Raw genomic sequence first — 19930 nt, 5'->3', positions numbered from 1 at the left:
GTCTCCCAAGTAGCTGGGATTACAGGCACGTGCCACCACGCCCAGCTAATTTTTGTACTTTTAGTAGAGATGGGTTTCATCATGTTGGCCAGGTTGGTCTTGAACTTCTGACCTCAGGTAATCCACCTGCTTTGGCCTCCCAAAGTGCTGGGATTACAGGTGTGAGCCATCGCACCTGGCCAGAAGTTTTAAACATATACAAGAGTGCAGCTTAAAAAGCAGTTTTTCTGACTCCAGAGCTAATTCAGCCCTGCCACAAACACAAACCCACATACCCATCTCCCAGTGTCAAACACAATCAACTCATGCTAATCCCACTTCATCCAGTTTCCTTACTTTTTAATGATGAACTTAATTTTGGCTTTGTTTCTGAGTATCTTCTCCAGCCTCGGAATGCCAAAAGTCGATGGTCTTCGGAATGGCACACCCTCAGGTAAGCCTTCCACATAAAAGTCTTCCGGGAAAGACTCAAATAACGCGAACGGCACCTTCACAGCTTGTTTAAGGCCAAGAGCTTCCCCTGCAAAACAGCCGCGTACACGAAACAGAACATGGGCGAAATGACGCCATTCAATCCCGAAAAACCCACACGTTGCCAATGACAGGGATACTCCAACGCTCAGTATCCCACTCTGCTCCCTCCTACTCCCATGAAGGCACCCTGCGTGGCAGTAAGAAGGTTTCAAAATAGACTTACCACATTTCTCATTGAAGAGATTTTCAACTTTCTGTTTTAGGTCCGTGATTTTGGCATTCCAGGCCTCTGCATATAAAACATAAGAGAGTTAAATTGCAATACTTATCACAGTACTTATCAATACACATTCACAGGCAGGAGTGTTTCATCTTATTTGTGCATCTTATTTTTTTTTTGTTGAGACAGAGTTTCGCTCTTGTTACCCAGGCTGGAGGGCAATGGTGCGATCTCTGCTCACTGCAACCTCCACCTCCTGAGTTCAAGCAGTTCTCCTGCCTCAGCCTCCTGAGTAGCTGGGATTACAGGCATGCGCCACCATGCCTGGCTAATTTTGTATTTTTGGTAGACACGGGGTTTCTCCATGTTGGTCAGGCTGGTCTCGAACTCCCAACCTCAGGTGATCCGCCCACCTCGGCCTCCCAAAGTGTTGGGATTACAGGCGTGAGCCACTGCGCCTGGCCTTATTTGTGCATCTTTAAGAAGAAATAAAAAATGCATAATCTTTTACCATGATATGACTTGACAACTACTCCCATCCTGATACATAAGCAAACTGTTTTAGTACATTGCTTTTATGTTGACTACAAATAAGTGAACAAATGCTAAAATAAAGAAAAAACAAATGAAAACCCCCAAAATGCCCCCACAAATTATAGTCTCTACTACATGCGAGGTATGGTTCTAAGTACTTTAAATGACAGTATTTATAATCCTCACCATAACCTCATGAGAAAGAAAGTAATGTTATTACCATTTTGCACAAAGGGAAACTGAGGCAGGGTGTATTCGCCTGCCCAAGTGGCATCGGATTTGAACTCAGATCTGAACTCAGGCAGCCTGGCTCTACGGGCTATTCCTTTAACCTTTGATATATACTGACTCACCAATAGGAACAATTCACCTGGTAAAATGAAACATAATGAACGTATTCTATTTAAAACTATGAAAGAAAGAAAAATAAAACGCTTACTTACCAAAGGAAAACTCTCTCCCTCGTGGCTTGAAGGGAACGTTAGAACCGTTAGTCTGGGTCGGGGTTCGAACAGCTGAGGTTTGAGGATTGTTGTTATTAGGGCCTAAAAGACAGAAAAAATAATGATAATCAACACACATTTAATGACGTAAGTGTCTCTAGGTTACAATCTTCAAGTCCAGCCTGTGCCAGAAAACAAAGCTAGGTTCAAATTGAAATGGGTATTCTTGTCATTCCGGCGAGTTCCACAGAAACCATTTTTCTATTTCTACAGAAACCCATTTTTCTTCTCTTCTTCTTCTTCTTCTTTTTTTTTTTTTTTTTTGAGACAAAGTTTCGCTCTTGTTGCCCAGGCTGGAGTGCAATGGCGCAATCTCGGCTCACCACAACCTCTGCCTCCTGGTTTCAAGCGATTGTCTTGCCTCAGCCTCCTGAGTAGCTGGGATTACAGGCATGCGCCACCAGGCCCAGATAATTTTGTATTTTCAGTAGAGATGGGGTTTCTCCATGTTGGTCAGGCTGGTCTCGATCTCCCAACCTCAGGTGATCCGCCTGCCTCGGCCTCCCAAAGTGCTGGGATTACAGGCGTGAGCCTCCACGCCTGGCCCTAATTTTGTATTCTTAAAGCAGGCCTCCCAGGCCCCGTGAACTTGGCTCTGCCCTTTAGGAAAGGCTGGCATCTTGTATATAAGAGAGATCTTCCTCTGATCTCTTCCGGAAGGAGGAAAGTCAAGGGTTCAATATATTTTTAATTCTTGGCATTTTTGAACAGAAATAATTAATCAGGTGTAAGTTGTCCATGGATGCTTGTTGGCTATCTTATGAGAAAGCAGGCTCTCTGAAAGTGTGCCACATGACTAAATAGGGACTTCTGCGCCACTCAACACCAGTACGGCAAACTCTTATTTAAAAACTTGACACCTGGGATGTAGAGAATGATCCTAATGCAGTGATTTCCTTCTGCATTTATGAAGAGATGGAAGAAATATCCATACTTGACAGTTGGTTGGAGATTGTCTTTAGTATTGTATGCAGTATTTTAACACTGTGAGCCTGAAAAGACAAGAACCAGCTGGGCGTGGTGGCTCACTTGAGGTCAGGGGTTCGAGACCAGCCTGGCCAACGTGGTAAAACCCCGTCTCTACTAAAGATATAAAAATTAGCTGGAGTTGGTGGTGGACGCCTGTAATCCCAGCTACCTGGGAGGCTGAGGCAGGAGAATCACTTGAACCCGGGAGGCGGAGGCTGCAGTGAGCCGAGATTGTGCCACTGCACTCCACCCTGGGCAAGAGAGCCAGACTCTGTCTCAAAAAAGAAAAAGAAAATACTTTTATTCAAGGCACTGCTGTTTAAACCACCCTAAACTTTCTTTCCTTAAAACAATAGAAAAAAATGAAGAGGAAAAAAAAGATAAAACATTCCACATGACTCTGCACCCTTATTTGTTATGATAAAGGAAAAGCATTTTAGGACTTTTCTTGGGGGAAGTTTATGATGTGATCCATGTTATCTGTTTTCTATTAAGGATTTAAAAATTTTCAATTAGAAGCATTCAGAAATTTAGCTTTATCACAGGCAGCTGTTCACAGTTAAAAGCTAGTTTGGTTAACGTCATCTGTATAAACCTGTATAAACACATAGCTAGTGAACTGACATAATTAGTAAACTAGAGAATGAACAGAAACATACCGAGGACTGGCCCTTACCTTCCACGGTGACCTCAATTTCAGGAACCTTTGAATTACTCCCAGGACTTCGTGGTCTTTTGGGGGACTGCAAAGCTGTAAAATAAGCAGAGTTCCTTTTGTATATTGTAGGGAAAAAAAAATACAGAAGGAGATGCTTTATAAGAGCAGAGTATTAAAATTCATACAGTTTGGTTCTTTTCAAAGAAACCTGCAGAATTAAACTTGTAGTGTAATCCTCCACAGGGGCTCAACAAAGCTGTGAAAACATGAATGAACTGGGATTGCAAATGTGACATTTCCAATGAAATGTTTTGTTTTTTTAAAAAAAAAAAAGAAAAATAGTTCCATTAAATAAAATACCTTAGAAAGCAAAGTAAACAACTCCAAGCCCCACAGAGATATTGGCCGATTCCGTATGATTTAAGGAATGCGGATAAAGAGTGTCTTAATGCGCTCAAATAGGATACGGAGTACACGTCGTCTCTTACCTTTAGTGTTTATTTTACTAGCCATCCCAGGAGGCAAGTAGGAAATAACTAGTTCAGGTCTAGAAAGAAAACCAAGAAGTGTTACAGTAGCCAGCACAGTGGTGGCCTCACAGCTAGTAAAACGGTCGTGATGTGATCAGGGTTTTTTTTCTAAAGGCATTCACAGAATCATCCTGTAACACAATAATTCCTAGTGTTGTGGACAAAAGACCCTGACTTTTCCTTCCCATGACTGGTAAGCCATTTTATGAAGAGTAAATAAGTGACTATTTTCATTAAAAAAGAAAAAAAAAACACTAGTGTACTTTCTTTAGCCACTAAAATTCTGCAGAAATGTAGATAAGAAAATCAATCATTAGGCCGTGCACGGTGGCTCATGCCTGTAATCCCAGCATTCTGGGAGGCTGAGGCGGGTGGATCACCTGAGGTCAGGAATTCCAGACCAGCCTAGCCAACACGGTGAAGCTCCATCTATTCTAAAAATACAAAAATTAGCCAGGCGTGGCGGTGCAAGTCTGTAATCCCAGCTACTCGGGAGGCTGAGGCACGAGAATTGCTCGAACCCAGGAGGCGGAGGTTGCAGTGAGCTGAGATTGCGCCACCGCACTCAAGCCTGGGCGACAGAGCAAGAGTCCGTCTCAAAAAAAAGAAAGAAACTCAATCATCAATATTTAGTCGCTCTCAAGATTGACCAGGAATAACAGAGCAGATAAAAACCAGCAAATTAAACTTCCATTCAAGTACTCAGGCATACTGCGAGTCACCACGGGGCCTCACGGTGACTCCGCGGAGGCGATTGTCACTATTTTCCTTGCACGGATGAAGATGATTGAGTATGGGCAGGGGCAATGGACAGTACCCGGACTGCAGCTCACAGCCAGGCTTTGCCATCAAGGACTTACAGCCACGCCTGTCACCTCTAGCTTGAAAAACATCTTAACAGAAATGTCATTTTATTGTTTTGATTCCAGAAACGACTACAGTGGCAAAAAGAACTTACTTTTTAACAACGAACTTGATTTTATTACTCCCGCGGACGATCCTTTCAAGTCGTGGAATTCCAAACCAGGTAGGGCTTCGGAAGGGAATCCCCTCTGGCAAGCCTTCCACATACAAGAACTCCGGGTTTGATTCAAACACAGGATATGGTACTTTTACTGCCTCGGTGAGTCCAAGAGCTTGAGCTGAAAGTGCAAGAGAACGTTAAGTTGCGGAGGATAACATTTGACACAGACATTCTTTCTTTGTGTCTACATTCTCGAGTACAGTATGGACAAGCTCCCTACGGTCAAGCAATATCCACTTCATATTGAAGGCATTTTGCTTAGGATATGGGGCAAATCTGAAGAACGAGCCTAAAAAATAAGTGCTTTTAGGAGGAACATTTTAACACTTTCAATCAAAAGGAGAGTTATGTTATTAGTGAAAATGACCTCTATGCTCTGGGCAGAAATGACCGAAGGCCATTCCACACAGCAGTGGACCCTGCTGGCCTTTGTGTTATCATCAAGAAGCAGGGTGTCTGTTCACAAACAGGCGGTGTCTACGATACAGCTAAGCAGCACTCAGTTCGAGTGGTCAGAGGCAGGGTAGTCAGGACTCCTGATCTGAGACAGGAAATGTCAACCCCAGGTATTGAGATAATGGACAGAAGTGCCCCGGGAATTTTGCTAGCACTGCCCACTCCTTACTTCCTTCTCCATGACAGACACACCCAATCAACTGAAACACTCTTTCTTGCTGAGCCTCCTCAGAATCGTTCTCAAGACAGCACTCCAGGAAACCGCTGTCAACAAATCTAAGCTGAAACAAATGATGAAACCTATTTGCCACATGGGTGTTAGCCAGACGAGAAGTACAAACAGTGGAACTGAAACTTATCCCAACACCTCCCTTCCTCTCCCATTCTGACACGTGAGAAAGTGGAATCCAAGAGAAATGAAGTCATCTGCTTGGTTTCAGTAGCAAGTGTAGTGGTAGAAAGAAACAGAAACCCAGTTTCTGGGACCTTCCTTCTTTAGGTCCTGAACTTTTTTTCCTTCTTTTTTTTTTTTTTTTGAGACAGAGTCTCACTCTGTCGCCCAGGCTGGAGTGCAGTGGTGCGATTTTGGCTCACTGCAAGCTCCGCCTCTGGGGTTCAAGCCATTCCCCTGCCTCAGCCTCCCGAGTAGCTGGGACTACAGGCGCCCGCCACCACGCCCGGCTAATTTTCCTGTATTTTTAGTAGAGACGGGGTTTCATCGTGTTCGCCAGGATGGTCTCGATCTCCTGACCTCCTGATCCGCCCGCCTTGGCCTCCCAAAGTGCTGCGATTACAGGCGTGAGCCACTGCACCCGGCTGGTCCCGAACTTCTATACTTCATTCAGACATGGCCCTTTGTTGATATGTTATTAAAGACATAAATACTGGCTTTTACTTACCAAATTTCAAATTAAAAATCTCTTCCACTTGCTTCCGTAGCTTGGTAATTCTGACATTCCAATCTTCTTTGACTGGAAAACAAAAAGAAACCCAATAACCATGTTATTTATCAGTGCTGTTGCAAATCAGAATGGATTTTGCTAGAAAGTACTCTTGTTTGCAGTGATTCTTTTTTGTTTGTTTTGTTTTATTTTTTTGAGACAGAGTCTTGCTCTGTCGCCCAGGCTGGAGCGCAGTGGCGCGATCTCGGCTCACTGCAAGCTTCGCCTCCCAGGTTCACGCCATTCTCCTGCCTCAGCCTCCTGAGTAGCTGGGACTACAGGCACCCGCCACCATGCCCAGCTAATTTCTTTTTGTATTTTTAGTAGAGATGGGGTTTCACGGTGTTAGCCAGGAAGGTCTTGATCTCCTGACCTCGTGATCTGCCCGCCTCGGCCTCCCAAAGTGCTGGGATTACAGGCGTGAGCCACCACGCCCGGCCTGCAGTGATTCTCTTAATTCAGTTTTGTTAAAAGCAAACATTTGGGGTCTTTTTTTTTAAATTAATTAATTTATTTATTTTTTATCATACTTTAAGTTCTAGGGTACATGTGCACAACGTGCAGGTTTGTTACATATGTATACATGTGCCATGTTGGTGTGAAAATTTGGGGTCTTAAGGAAAATAATAATTTCCAGTACTTGCCAAATATCAGAAAAACTGCAGAAAGACAGAATTAATTTATTTATTTAGAGAAAGAGTCTTGCTATGACGCCCAGGCTGGAGTGCAGTGGCGTGATCTCAGCTCACAGCAACCTCCGCCTCCTGGGTTCAAGCGATTCTCCTGCCTCAGCCTCCCGAGTAGCTGGGATTACAGGTAGCCGCCACCACGCCCGGCTAATTTTTATATTTTTAGTAGAGACAGGGTTTCACCATGTTGGCCAAGCTGGTCTTGAATGCCTGACCTCAAGTGATCTGCCCGCCTCGGCCTCCCAAAGTGTTGGGATTACAGGCGTGAGCCACCGTGCCCAGCCTAGAAAGACAGAATTTAAATTTAAGTTTACATTGTAAATAAAGTGAAATTTGTCCACATGAAAGAGTGCTCAAAATCAGTGCTTCTCACACATTCCTCCTTGGAGAAGTCCCTCAGGGAACTCGGTCAGAGCAGGGAGGCCAGCTGCATGAGGTTCAAGGGCTCCCACACCAGTTTCAACAAGAGGGACTTTGCTTTTATTTGCTTTCTCTACAGGCAATCCTCGTTTTATCTAACAGATGTGTGCCTAAAAATCTACATAAAGCAACACTTCACTAATCAAAGTGACTTTTCGCATCAGAAATCAATGATAAAGGGACGGAATTCATGTGGGGGGTTGGAGTGGACGCAGGCGTGAGTGGGTCCAGCAGATGGAAACACAGCTGCCAAGTCTGCCCTGTCCTTAGCTTCTGCAGGAGGTGTGGGGAACTCTGCCTTCTACAATGTGATGCTGCACAGAGAGCTGTCTGTCATCTTCGACCAATTCCATGGCATTCAGGACACTGTGATAGGGGAAGGAACGCACTTTCTCATCCCATGGGAAAAGAAACCAATTATTTTTGACTGCTGCTCTTGACCACATTATGCACCAATCATCACTGTGAGCAAAGATTGTCACCATCACACTGGGCGTCCTCTTCCCACCTTGTTGCTGGCCAGGTCCTTGCATCTTCCAATTACTGGAGAAGCCAATGAAGAATGTGCTGCCATCCATCACTGCGGAGCTCCTCAAGCTGGGGGCGGCTCAGGCTGACGCTGGAGAACTGATCACGCAGGGAGAGCTGGGCTCCAGACAGGTGAGCAATTAACTTCGGAGCAAGCAGCAACCTTTGGGCTCCTCCTGGATGCTGTGACCTTGGATCTGACCTTCGGGAAGGAATTTGCAGAAGCAGTGGAACCAAAGAGGTGGCTCAGCAGGAAGAAGAGAGGGCCAGATCTGTGGTGGCAAGGGCTGAGCAGCAGAAGACGGCGGCCATCATCTCTGCCGAGGGCGACTCCAAGGCCACGGAGTTCATCGCCAGCTCAGTGGCCACCGCAGGTGACGGCCTGATCAAGCCCACAAGCTGGAACCATGGAGGACACTGTACCGGCCCTCCAGCTCTCAGAACTCATCCACCTGCCCGTGGGGACATCTGTGCTCCTCCAGCTGCCCCAGCGCAGGCCGCCCTGCCCTGCACCTCCTCCAGCCAACTGGGCCACAGCACCAATGACTTTTACTACCGCCTTCCTTCTGTCCCCACTCCAGAAATCACTGTGCAATTTCACAAATGGCTTAAAGCAATGGACATAAAAGGAAAAATCACTTCAGAAAAAAAAGAAAGCAATGGTAAAAGACCTAGAGACGTTATTCAGCTTCACTCACAGTGACAGTGGGGTGTGTTTTCCTATCCCTAAGACAACCATTGCCTTTTAAGCATCAAAATTTAAAAAACAAACAAACAAACAAAAAAGCTATTATAAAGACATGTAGAATATCACTGATGTGGACAGAGTATTCAGGTGTGGACGAGGTGCGGATGAGGATGGAGGTCAACTTGGAGACAATGCAGGATGACTGAAGTGTTTCTGGATGAGCAAAGGAGGGAAAGAGAGAAAGAGGAAACGGGTCGGGGGGTGGAGGGTTCGCCTCGGTGTGGAGGTCATCTCTGATTGCTGACAAATGCAGTGGAAAATGTTGGAGAAGGTCTGACAATATCGCTAAAGGTTGGTGGTTTCAGAAAATCTTATAACATTTCCTTTACTTTAAAAGAAAACTTAGCATCTCAAGGGTTGAATGTGAGTTGTTTTTTCCCTGTGGATTTCAGAGTAGGCCATTCAGCCACAGAAAATAACTCTGGATGAACCACATTTGAATACTACCAATAAAGACCTCGGACTCTCCTCCTCTAAGGTCGAGCGCCTCTATTAACTGCTCAGCCTCCTCTTCTGCCCCACCCCCACCCCCTCCTCCCCCACCTTGCTCCTCCCATGCAGGACTTCACAGCCTCCTCACAGAGCCAGGTGCCACCTCCCACTCCATCACATGCCTGGCTCCGCTGCCTTCTCGCGTGTGACATCTCCCTTTCACCAAGCTGAGGACACTGTGCACCCGTGGTGTGTTTAAGCAGACAATTCTGATGGCCACAAAATTCTTTTCTCTTGTGGTCTGTGACTCGAGTTGTCCTGTCCAAAGACTAACGCATGTTCCACGGGCAGGCCAAGTAAGGTGTTGTTGGAATGAGGAACCACCAAGCACCTTTAATTCCTTCCAAGATCTTTTATGAATGGGACAAAGTCAAGTGCTGTTAGTGACGACAAGAGTGGAGATTCTCCTTCTGGTGAATCTGCTGCACTCTGGTGACGATGGCAGGTCCGGCACTGCTCCAGCACCCAATCCTTGCAGTGACTTCTATGGCACTTGCACATTCTTTTTACAATAGAGGCTTCGCATTCTCAGTTTTTGCAGTCACTCACTGTCACAACTGCCCCTAACAAAAGTGGTGACTGCATTCCTCACAACCTTGAATTTGAGCTTTGTCTTGAGAAATGAAGGTTTCTACAGGTTTCATCATGTTCAGACTAATCCAAACTGAAGATCTACCTCCAGGAAGATTTTTCTTTCTCCATTACTTCCCTGAGCAAAAAATGTGTCACTTCCAATCTTCAATTCTTCACCAGTACTTTGATTGCTTGACCAAATCAAAAGCATGCTGAGGTTAACCTATGAGTTAAGCATTGACTTTTATCTTCTCCACTACAGGACTCCTGGACCAAGATAATTTTGTTACCCTGCTACAGAATTTCTCAGCCACTTTCCATGCCATAATCCACACAAAATCTATTTGGCACACTGACTGACCTTCACTCATGTCCACAAGGTGCTGTGAGAGCTGAAGGAGAAGTATTTTAGGGCACACCCAGGAACCCAACTTGAAACATTTGTTCACCTTAGTAGTCGTGAGCATGATTAACTGCACCAATCTGTATACACCTAGTACACACACAAATTTCATACTTGATTCCTAACACTTATTTCTAACAACAGAAAACTTCACACTACAGGGTATGGGCATTTACACACTACAGGGTATGGGCATTTATTGGTTCTTGGCAACAGAAGTTCCTAAGGTGGCTGATGATCTACAGAGTGTGGTCACTTCCTCTGACATTACACAACGGCAAACAAAAAGAAAGAGGTCAGGTGCAGTGGCTCATGCCTATAATCCCAACACTTTGGGAGGCCAGGGCAGGTGGATCACCTGAGGTCAGGAGTTCAAGACCAGCCAGACTGACATGGTGAAACCCCATCTCTACTAAAAATACAAAAATTAGCCCAGGTGTGGTGGCGTGCAGCTGTAGTCCCATCTACTCGGGAGGCTGAGGCGGGAGAGCTGCTTGAACCCGGGAGGCGGAGGCCCCAGTGAGCCGAGATTGCACCACTGCACTCCAGCCTGGATGACAGAGTGAGGCTCCGTCTCAAAAAAAAAAAAAAAAAAAAAAAAGATAGGAAAGAAATAAAGGCACACTTAGAGCTCTAATAAAGAAAATAACATCATTCATTGAACAGAGACTTCTTAGATCTTCCCTATTAGGCTGTGATATTTGTGTGCAGGTCAGAGTTACAGTCTTTGCCATTTTAGGAACACGATACATATGAATAAACATTAAGGTCTAAATGCATATAGCAGGTACTATCCCCGAGCAGTTGAAATGTTTGAAATGTGGCTACTTGGAACTGAAATATGCTGTGAGTATGAAAGACGCGCCAACTGTCAAATAAAGAACATGGGATAAAGACCGTGAAATACTTCCCTGTGTATTTCTTTATAATGATTACAGGCTGAACTAGAACGTGGACGATTACACATGTGGCTTGCATTTGTGGGGCACACTGCCTTTCTCATGGATAGCAGTGGTCTACGGTCAAAGCTTGAGTTATCTGTGCACTGCAGGTGTTCACATTGATAAATCAAGGAGTGGCTGGATTGAGCTTCTGCAAATGATTTTTTGGGGAGGCAGGGGAAGGGGGACTTCCATAATTTTAAAAGATTAACTTTTAAAAGCTTACAAAGTATTGATCTGTGCTTTTTTTTTTTTTTTTTTCTGAGAGAGTCTTGCTCTGCTGCCCAGGCTGGAGTACAATGGCGTGATCTCGGCTCACTGCAAGCTCCGCCTCCTGGGTTCATGCCATTCTCCTGCCTCAGCCTCCCGAGTAGCTGGGACTACAGGTGCCCGCCACCAGGCCCGGCTAATTTTTTTGTATTTTAGTAGACATGGGGTTTCACCATGTTAGCCAGGATGGTCTTGATCTCCTGACCTTGTGATCTGCCCGCCTCAGCCTCCTAAAGTGCTGGGATTACAGGTGTGAGCCACCGAGCCTGGCTGATCTGTGTTTTTAAAAAAGGATTTCACAACTAGTTTACCTGGTGTATTCGTTCTTGGCTGAGTAACTTCAGTGGTACTGTGAGTCAGAAGTTCTGGTCTGTAGAAACAGAGTTGATATTAGTAATAAAGCATTTAGAAGCAACTCACAGGCCTTTCTCACACAGCTGTTCATTGCCAATTAGTTATAAATATGGTTCATCCTGCCTTCATTTTATAGTGAAAAAAAAATCATTTTGGTGACGAGTTTATTTTGAAAATGGCAATTTTCAGATATTCGGGTGAGACCTTCAAAATCATCCTATATTTAAGATAAACAGGCGAAAGTCACTTTTCCCCCAAACCAGCTCAATTCTGTTTCTGAATCTTACATGAACTGTCCCACAGCACAGCCAGAAGCAGCTCGCTGTAGCATCTTAAACGTTTCCTATCCCTTATAACTCAGTCCCAACAAACACACAGAGGCATGACCCCAATCAGTAAGGAAGGTTTACCCTTCCACATCCCGTCAATGAGTGGAGAGAGGCCTTCTGTTCCTAACCCCGCACCCAAACTAACCATTGTGTTATCCTTCAAAATCAAGCCAGAATTACCTTTCTAAAGGGCGGATCCACATTATTTTCAGAGGCATCTGCCTCGAGACCACTTCGTGACTGCCTCTGTGTTCGTAGGATCTCAGGCCTTCCTCCACTTGCCCACCCAAGTCGATCCATGCAACCCCACCACGCCCACGTGGCAGTCCTCACTCCACACACGGTGGGTGAGTTCTGTGGATACGCAGGCATATTTGCCACCTCCTCCCCCTACTCATATGATTTCCTTCACTTGAAACACCTTCCATCTCTTCTGGATGCACAAGTGACCGAGCTGGGTGTGCCATCCTTGCCTTCTCCCTTAAAAACGCTCAATAACACTTCATTGCATTTTTCTATTTTTTTTTTTTAATTATTTTGAGATGGAGTCTCGCTCTGTTGCCCAGGCTGGAGTGCAGTGGCACGATCTCGGCTCACTGCAACCTCCGCCTCTAGGGTTCAAGTGATTCTCCAACCTCAGCCTCCCGAGTAGCTGGGACTACAGGCTTGCACCACCGCTTCCAGCTAATTTTTGTATTTTTACTAGAGATGGGGCTTCATCATGTTGGCCAGGCTAGTCTTGAACTCCTGACCTCAAGTGATCCACCTGCCTTGGCCTCCCAAAGTGCTGCGATTACAGGCGTGAGCTGCCGCGCCCGGCCTTCAGTGCATTTTTCTTTGTATGAAGGCCCCAAGGACAGTGTTCTTGTTAGACCCAATTTTGCACATCTGATGCTTATACTAATATTTGTTCACTAAGTGAATCTAAATATTAATGCCTTCATTGTCAATAGAAATAAGTCATAAGGTAAACAAAAGGCCCTTCTTCATCAAATTAACCTCTTCTCAGGGAAGACACTGAAACTATTTCTACAGATTATCATCTTACCTTTTAATAACAAATTTAATTCGATTGCCCACTTGAATGATTTTTTCCAGCCTTGGGATTCCATACCATGAGGGACTTCGGAAAGGAATGTTTTCTGGCAGTCCTTCCACGTACAGATCATTCGGGTGTGCCTCAAATTTTTGGTACGGTACAGCCTTGGCTTCAGTGCTCCCCAAGGCTTCCGCTGGACAAAAATCAAAGCAATTCGGGAGACTACATTTGTATTGAAATCAGATTTTAGTACAATCCAAAGAAAGGCACAGGTCAATTTTGTTTTACTTGAAAAAAACTCTTTCTAGAAACATATTTATTAACTATTGAATAGACTTAATACAGCAAAGACAAGTAGAGATGACCGATCATCAACAGCCAGATTTGGGCAGATTTAAGTGTCCTGGTCCTAAGACAATCTTAATAGCTCTGAGATCTTTAAAAGATTAAAGTTTGTTTTTCAATATCCTTAGGAAGAAAAGAGAGAAAGAAAATCATCATGGACAATAGAGGACACAACCTAAATACTATCTGGAAGCAGCCTTTTGCTACTAACTGTTCAGGACCGTAATTACCCTCCTCCATCGGCTATGGCAAACTGGTAACACATTTCCGACTACACTTTCATCTGCGTGGCAACCAGATCAATGTTCTTTACCCCTTCAACCTCACGAGCATGCCATTTTAAAGGAAATAACTTTCCACAGATAATTCATAGAATGGGGGCCGGGCGCGGTGGCTCACGCCTATAATCCCAGCACTTTAGGAGGCTGAGGCGGGTGGATCACCTGAATTCAGGAGTTTGAGACCAGCCTGGCCAACATGGCGAAACCCCATCTCTACTAAAAATACAAAAGTTAGCCAGGCGTGGTGGCGGGCACCTGTAATCCCAGCTACTTGGGACGCTGAGGCAGGAGAATTGCTTGAACCCGGGAGGAGGAGGTTGCAGTGAGCTGAGATCGTACCACTGCACTCCAGCCTGGGCAACAGAGCAAGACTCCTTCTCAAGAAAAAAAAAAAAACCCAAAAAAAAAAAACAGGGAAAACTAAAGCTGAGTCCTATTCACTGTATTTACTTTCCTAAAATAAAACAACATTTAAAAAAATGTTACTCAGTAATACATTTTAGTTGAAGGGGTAATTAAAAAAAACAGACTTACCAAATTTTTTGCAGAAAAGCTGATCCACCATCTTTCTTAATTTAGTGATTCTGGCATACCATTCTTCCTTTACTGTCAAAATAACAGTAATACAAGTGTTCTCAATTTAATGGGTTTAATAACTTGATTATTAAACATTATTACTATAAAATAAGAGGTATAACTTTTCCTTTTCCTATGGCCAAAATTATTTCTAAGATTCGTGGCCAGGTGCAATGGCTCACACCTGTAATCCCAACACTTTGGGAAGCCGAGGCAGGCGGGTCACTTGAGGTCAGGAGTTTGAGACCAGCCTGGCCAACATGGTGAAACCCCATCTCTACTAAAAATACAAAAATTAGCCAGGCGTGATGGCGCACGCCTGTAGTCCCAGCTACTCATGAGGCTGAGGCAGGAGAATCGCTTGAACCCAGGAGGCAGCGGTTGCAGTGAGCTGAGATTGCGCCATTGCACTCCAGCCTGGGCAACAGAATGAGATTCCGTCTCAAAAAAAAAAAAAGACAATAATAAAATTATTCCTAAGATTCTAGAATGTATTTATTTCTAAAACAATGCTGACACTGTACAAAAAGAGGAAGAACGAAACATTCATTAGAGCTAGGAAAAAGCAAAACTCAGTGTATTCAGGAACAGCTAGCAGGTAACACTTGCTACAGGAAGATTAGGGCTATGATCTTGCTGCAGTCCTTCTATCTTAGTAAATATCAACAGGGTGATTCCATTCTGTTTTATCCTCACTCCACTCCACTCCAGAGCAAAAGCAAGCAAGAAAATCAATTATATTTCTATTTATTTTAAAACACATCTAACAGGCTGGGCGCGGTGGCTCATGCCTGTAATCCTAGCACTCTGGGAGGCCGAGGTGGGCAGATCACCTGAGGTCAGCAGTTTGAGATCAGCCTGGCCAACATAGTGAAACCCTGTCTCTACGAAAAATACAAAAATTAGCTGGGCATGGTGGCAGGCACCTGTAATCCCAGCTACAGGGAGGCTGAGGCAGGAGAACTGCTTGAACCCAGGAGGCGGGAGGTTGCAGTGAGCGGAGATCGCACCACTGCACTCCAGCCTGGGCAACAGAGCAAGATTCCCTCTCAAAAAACAAAACAAAACAAAACAAAATACATCTAACAATTAAGAGATGATATAAATGGCTCCATGCTCTAAAAGGAAACCTTCTTATGTCCTGCATATCATGGACATTCAATGAATGCTTGTTCCATTGACTCGTGTAGACTTCAATAATAAACTGTTCAATGCATTATGCCAGATAAATCTTGCATCAAAAGTAGAACAAATATTGTTCTTTTACTTCTGTCTACCCATAAATGCAATATTTATAAGTATTTACAATGGGTTAATAAAAAGAAGATGCGTTTATTCTTCTAGAAATTATTAGAATTTTGACAACATGAATTCTCCTGTAATGGCACATAATTAATAGTTAGAGACATATTATTTCATGTGGAAGGTAACATAAAGAAGAAATCAATGTTAAGCGTGAAATAATTATTGCACATAATCTTCTGATCTGCCTCGAGATTGAAGACCTACCTCCTGAAGCTGGCTTATCAAGCTGTAAATCTTCACGTGTTGAATTCAGAAGCTCATGTCTGAAAGGTGAGAATAAATACTCAATAATCACTAGGTAATATTCAGCAAACTAATAACGACTAGTACATATTTAACATTTAGTCAGTAAGGCTGGTTTTGAAAAGAAAAGATAATCTGGATGCTTGAGCACAACTAAATCTTTTTTTTTTTTTTCCTGAGACGGAGTTTTGCTCTTGTTCCCAGGCTGGAGTGCAATGGCGCAGTCTCGACTCACTGCAACCTCCACCTCCCGGGTTCAAGCAATCCTCCTGCCTCAGCCTCCCAAGTAGCTGGGATTCCAGGCGCCCACCACCACACCTGGTCAATTTTTGTATTTTTAGTAGAGACAGTGTTTCACCATTGTTGGCCTGGCTTGTCTCGAACTCCTGACCTCGGGTGATCCAGCCGCCTTGGCCTCCCAAAGTGCTGGGATTATAGGTGTGAGCCACTACACCCAGCCCACAACTAAATCTTAATTTGAGGTTTCTACAGAGTAAAAAGCAAACTAATAATTGCAAGTTGTCTCATAAGGTGCTTCATGGAGCATGTATCCTCACAAGTAAAGAGGTAACTTTGCAACCCACAGGTCTTTGAAGCATATTACAAAAATCTTAAATGGGATCCTTTAATGTCATATTGCATTCAAGACTATCTTCCTCTGCACATCTATAAAAACAATCATATATTCCCACGCATGCTTTAAAAATCTCAGGCCTATGAGGGCGAGGTTGGCAGATCATCTGAGGTCAGGAGTTCAAGACCAGCCTGGCCAACATGGTGAATCACCGTCTCTACTAAAAATACAAAAATTAGCCAGGCATGGTGGCGCACGCCTGTAATCTCAGCTACTCGGGAGTCTGAGGCATGAGAATCGCTTGAACCTGGAAGGCAGAGGTTGCAGTGAGCTGAGATTGCGACACTGCACTCAAGCCTGGGTTCCAGTGTGAGACTCCATCTCGAAAAAAAAAATATATATATATATCAGGCCTAAAAACAAGGCGTGGATTCTATGTTCTTTAGCAAAAGTAGCAGAAAATTGTGAAAGAAAATGTGAGTTGCATGCCAATCCAGTGCGGGCACTGTTCATGCTTCGAATGCCAACACTGCATGACTGATGCAATGCTGGACCCAGATAAATTAAAAAGTGCAAGATAAAAATACATAAAATAACTCAAACTTCATCACATAGAACCTAGTGGTGAATGAATATTGGTCAACAATAAAAAAGACGTATTACTCAGAAAAGAGACAAGAGTTCAACAGGAATCCAAGAGTCTTACTTCTTAATCACAAAACGAATCCTTTCCTTTGCAAGTAATATCCTCTCCAGGCGAGGAATTCCGTAAGTAGATGGCCTTCTAAAAGGAATTCCTTCAGGAAGTCCTTCTACATAAAGATCTTCAACATGAGACTGGAAAAGAGGGTACGGGATCGTCACCGGACCTTTGGCTTTTATGGCTTGAGCTATAAGGACAAAAAGAGAAAGAGATATCATTTAAACACAATTTGTAGAAAAGAATAATAAATCATTGAATCTGTAGTGCTCTTTAACTTTTTTTTTATTTTTTTGAGATGGAGTCTTGCTGTGTCTCCCAGGCTGCAGTGCAGTGGTGTGATCTCGGTTCACTGCAAGCTCTGCCTCCCGGGCTCACGCCATTCTCCTGCCTCAGCCTCCCGAGTAGCTGGGACTACAGGTGCCCGCCACCACGCCCAGCTAATTTTTTGTATTTTTAGTAGAGACGGGGGTTTCACTGTGTTATATATATATGTATATGTGTTTATGTATATATATATATATATGTATATGTGTATATGTATATATACATATATATGTATATGTGTGTATATATATACACACAGGAAGCATTTATTACATGTATGCCAGGTATTACGTGAAGCACTTTACTATCTTATCAATCTCCAGGATAGATCTTCAGTTCTCATGACCACAAAAGAGGATACTAAGACTCAGACAGGAGAAGAGACGTGGCAAGGCACTGTGTCCCCAGAGCCTATGATCTTACCACTAGGTTACAGTGCTTCCAGGTAGCACATGCTATGAAGTTTTTGCTTCATAATGAACCAATAGAAAACATGAGGCCGGGCGCAGCGGCTCACGCCTGTAATCCCAGCACTCTGGGAGGCCGAGGTGGGTGGATCACCTGAGGTTAGGAGTTCAAGACCAGCCTGGCCAACATGGTGAAACCTTGTCTCTACTAAAAATACAAAAATTAGCTGGGCATGGTGGCGGGCACCTGTAATCTTAACTACTCAGGAGGCTCAGACAGGAGAATTGCTTGAACCTGGGAGGCAGAGGTTACAGTGAGCCAAGATCGTGCCACTCCAGACTAGGCAACAAGAGCAAAACTCTATCTCAAAAAAAAAAAAAACAACAACAAAACAAAAAACAAAAAACCACGGGCAAAAAAGGTGTAAGCTATTAAAAACTGGGAGAAACACTAAGAGAACCTTAAGTAAACCACTAAAAATATGGAAAAGTTACTGAATTCATTAGCAAATTTACTCTAATTGTAGATTTTCATTGAGGGGTAGGTTATATTACTCATGATGAAGAAAAAATGCTCATTTTAAGTTTGTTAACACAAATACCATCAATATGGTTTATTGCATTTAAATTTTCACTTATAGCAATTCAGTTAAAACTGCATATCATACAATTTTACCGCTTGCTAGTTAATGGCAAAGTAAATAGTCATCCAAATAAAAATGATAACAGATGATAATAAATATGATAAAAATAAAATGATTTTTATTTTAAATCATTTTAAATATTTTATAAAAAATAAAAATGATAATAACAAATTGCGAATTTCTTTGATCATTATATAAAGGTGGCTATAGGACAGAATAGTAAAAGGACAAAGAAGGAATTGAAATCTAGCATCAACTCAGTTATACATCAAGATAAAAGCAGTGGCCGGGAAGGGTGGCTCACGCCTGTAATGCTAGCACTTTGGGAGGCCAAGGCGGGAGGATCACTTGAGGTCAGGAGTTTGAGACAAGCCTGGCCAACATGGTGAAACCCTGTCTCTACTAAAAATACAAAAATTAGCAGGGCATGGTGGCGGGCACCTGTAGTCCCAGCTGCTTGGGAGACTGAGCCAGGAGAATTGCTTGAACCCGGGAGGCGGAGGTTGCAATGAGCCGAGATTGTACTACTGCAATGCAGAGACTCCGTCTCAAAAAAAAAAAAAAAAAAAAAAAAAAAGATAAAAGTAGAGACAATAGGGGGATCTCAGCAAATACTGGATTTAACAAAGTAGATTAACAGAAACTGTCAGTTAAAAAAATAATTTTTAATGAAACCCCCAAGATCCAGAGCTTTGTAATAAATATGTAAATAAATTCCCAAATATCCATGCTGGAAGTTTAAAAGAAATGTTAGCTGATAACTACAGAAATACAACTTTTCCTTAGCTTTACTGTAATCTAGAAACAAAGACTGTTTCTAATATTTAGACAGACACTACTAAGGACCTTACAATGAGAGACGTGTAAGAAAGTGTGGCACGGTTCACTGGCAGCCCTGGGCTGGGCTTGTCCACATCACCCCCATGATGAACAGTAACGCCATTGTGTAAATGCTCATGAACAAAGTATTACAGGAATTTTCCTATTTAGACATACCATATTTCCTTTCAAACAATTCTTCAACTTGTTTACGTAGATCAGTGATGCGAGCATTCCATTTCTCTGAAAATTGAGCAAAAGTTAATTCTCATTAAGAAGTCCCTACCATCGGGGCAGCACTAGGGTCTTGGGATGACTGAACATACAATGACATATTTTCTACATTTTTACATCCCAACTGTCCATATCATTTTACTGCTTTCCAAGAACTTTCCCCTTTTTGGTGGTTCTTAGAATTAGTAGGTTGGTGCAAAAGTAACTGTGGCTTTTGCCATTACTTTTAATAGTCTCATGGGAGACTACACGAGAAGTTTTAACATTTAGCACCTCTTTTTAGCCTTTTAATTTCTGAAAAGCAGGAGGGCAGAAAAGATCAAGCAAATGAAACACGACAAAAGGGAGACCACGATAAAGGTCTCCAGGGGTCTTTTAGC

The 19930-nt window shown here is 43.4% G+C and overlaps 1 protein-coding gene and 1 pseudogene across 5 annotated transcripts in view, besides 4 other annotated features; one reads left to right on the top strand and one right to left on the bottom strand.

The window, feature by feature from the left end:
• Positions 1-3940: part of a non allelic homologous recombination region, noted in NCBI's record as "sub-region SSN3'-SSN6', recombines with sub-region SSN3-SSN6 within the WBS centromeric block B recombination region", that runs on past the window's edge. NCBI's record gives the evidence for it as "EXISTENCE:restriction fragment detection evidence [ECO:0001124][PMID:12796854]".
• Positions 1-15851: part of a biological region, named in NCBI's record as "Williams-Beuren syndrome medial block B recombination region", that runs on past the window's edge. NCBI's record gives its function as "recombination_partner: LOC106029311 | LOC106029313".
• Positions 1-19930, bottom strand: part of GTF2I (general transcription factor IIi) — a 102975-nt gene that overhangs the window by 10905 nt on the left and 72140 nt on the right. For all 5 annotated transcript variants that reach the window (NM_032999.4, NM_033001.4, NM_001163636.3 and 2 more), the window contains 13 exons: positions 19494-19559; positions 17126-17309; positions 15807-15865; positions 14256-14327; positions 13105-13288; positions 11685-11743; positions 6268-6339; positions 4847-5030; positions 3847-3905; positions 3377-3451; positions 1672-1773; positions 698-763; positions 337-520 (listed from right to left, as the gene is read on the bottom strand). In NM_032999.4, coding sequence (NP_127492.1) covers positions 337-520; positions 698-763; positions 1672-1773; positions 3377-3451; positions 3847-3905; positions 4847-5030; positions 6268-6339; positions 11685-11743; positions 13105-13288; positions 14256-14327; positions 15807-15865; positions 17126-17309; positions 19494-19559 — 1366 coding nt within the window. The remainder of the gene's footprint in view (positions 1-336; positions 521-697; positions 764-1671; positions 1774-3376; positions 3452-3846; positions 3906-4846; positions 5031-6267; positions 6340-11684; positions 11744-13104; positions 13289-14255; positions 14328-15806; positions 15866-17125; positions 17310-19493; positions 19560-19930) is intronic.
• Positions 3941-15851: a non allelic homologous recombination region, noted in NCBI's record as "sub-region SSN1'-SSN3', recombines with sub-region SSN1-SSN3 within the WBS centromeric block B recombination region". NCBI's record gives the evidence for it as "EXISTENCE:restriction fragment detection evidence [ECO:0001124][PMID:12796854]".
• Positions 5422-6238: a meiotic recombination region, noted in NCBI's record as "meiotic double-strand break mapped by DNA meiotic recombinase 1 chromatin immunoprecipitation followed by single-stranded DNA enrichment and sequencing in the germ cells of some male individuals with the PRDM9 A/A genotype". NCBI's record gives the evidence for it as "EXISTENCE:chromatin immunoprecipitation-seq evidence [ECO:0000229][PMID:25395542]".
• On the top strand, positions 7667-8331 carry PHB1P15 (PHB1 pseudogene 15; annotated as a pseudogene).

This window comes from Homo sapiens, chromosome 7 (genome assembly GCF_000001405.40).
Source record: "Homo sapiens chromosome 7, GRCh38.p14 Primary Assembly".
NCBI lineage: Eukaryota > Metazoa > Chordata > Mammalia > Primates > Hominidae > Homo > Homo sapiens.
This window is presented reverse-complemented; position numbering and strand designations above follow the sequence as displayed.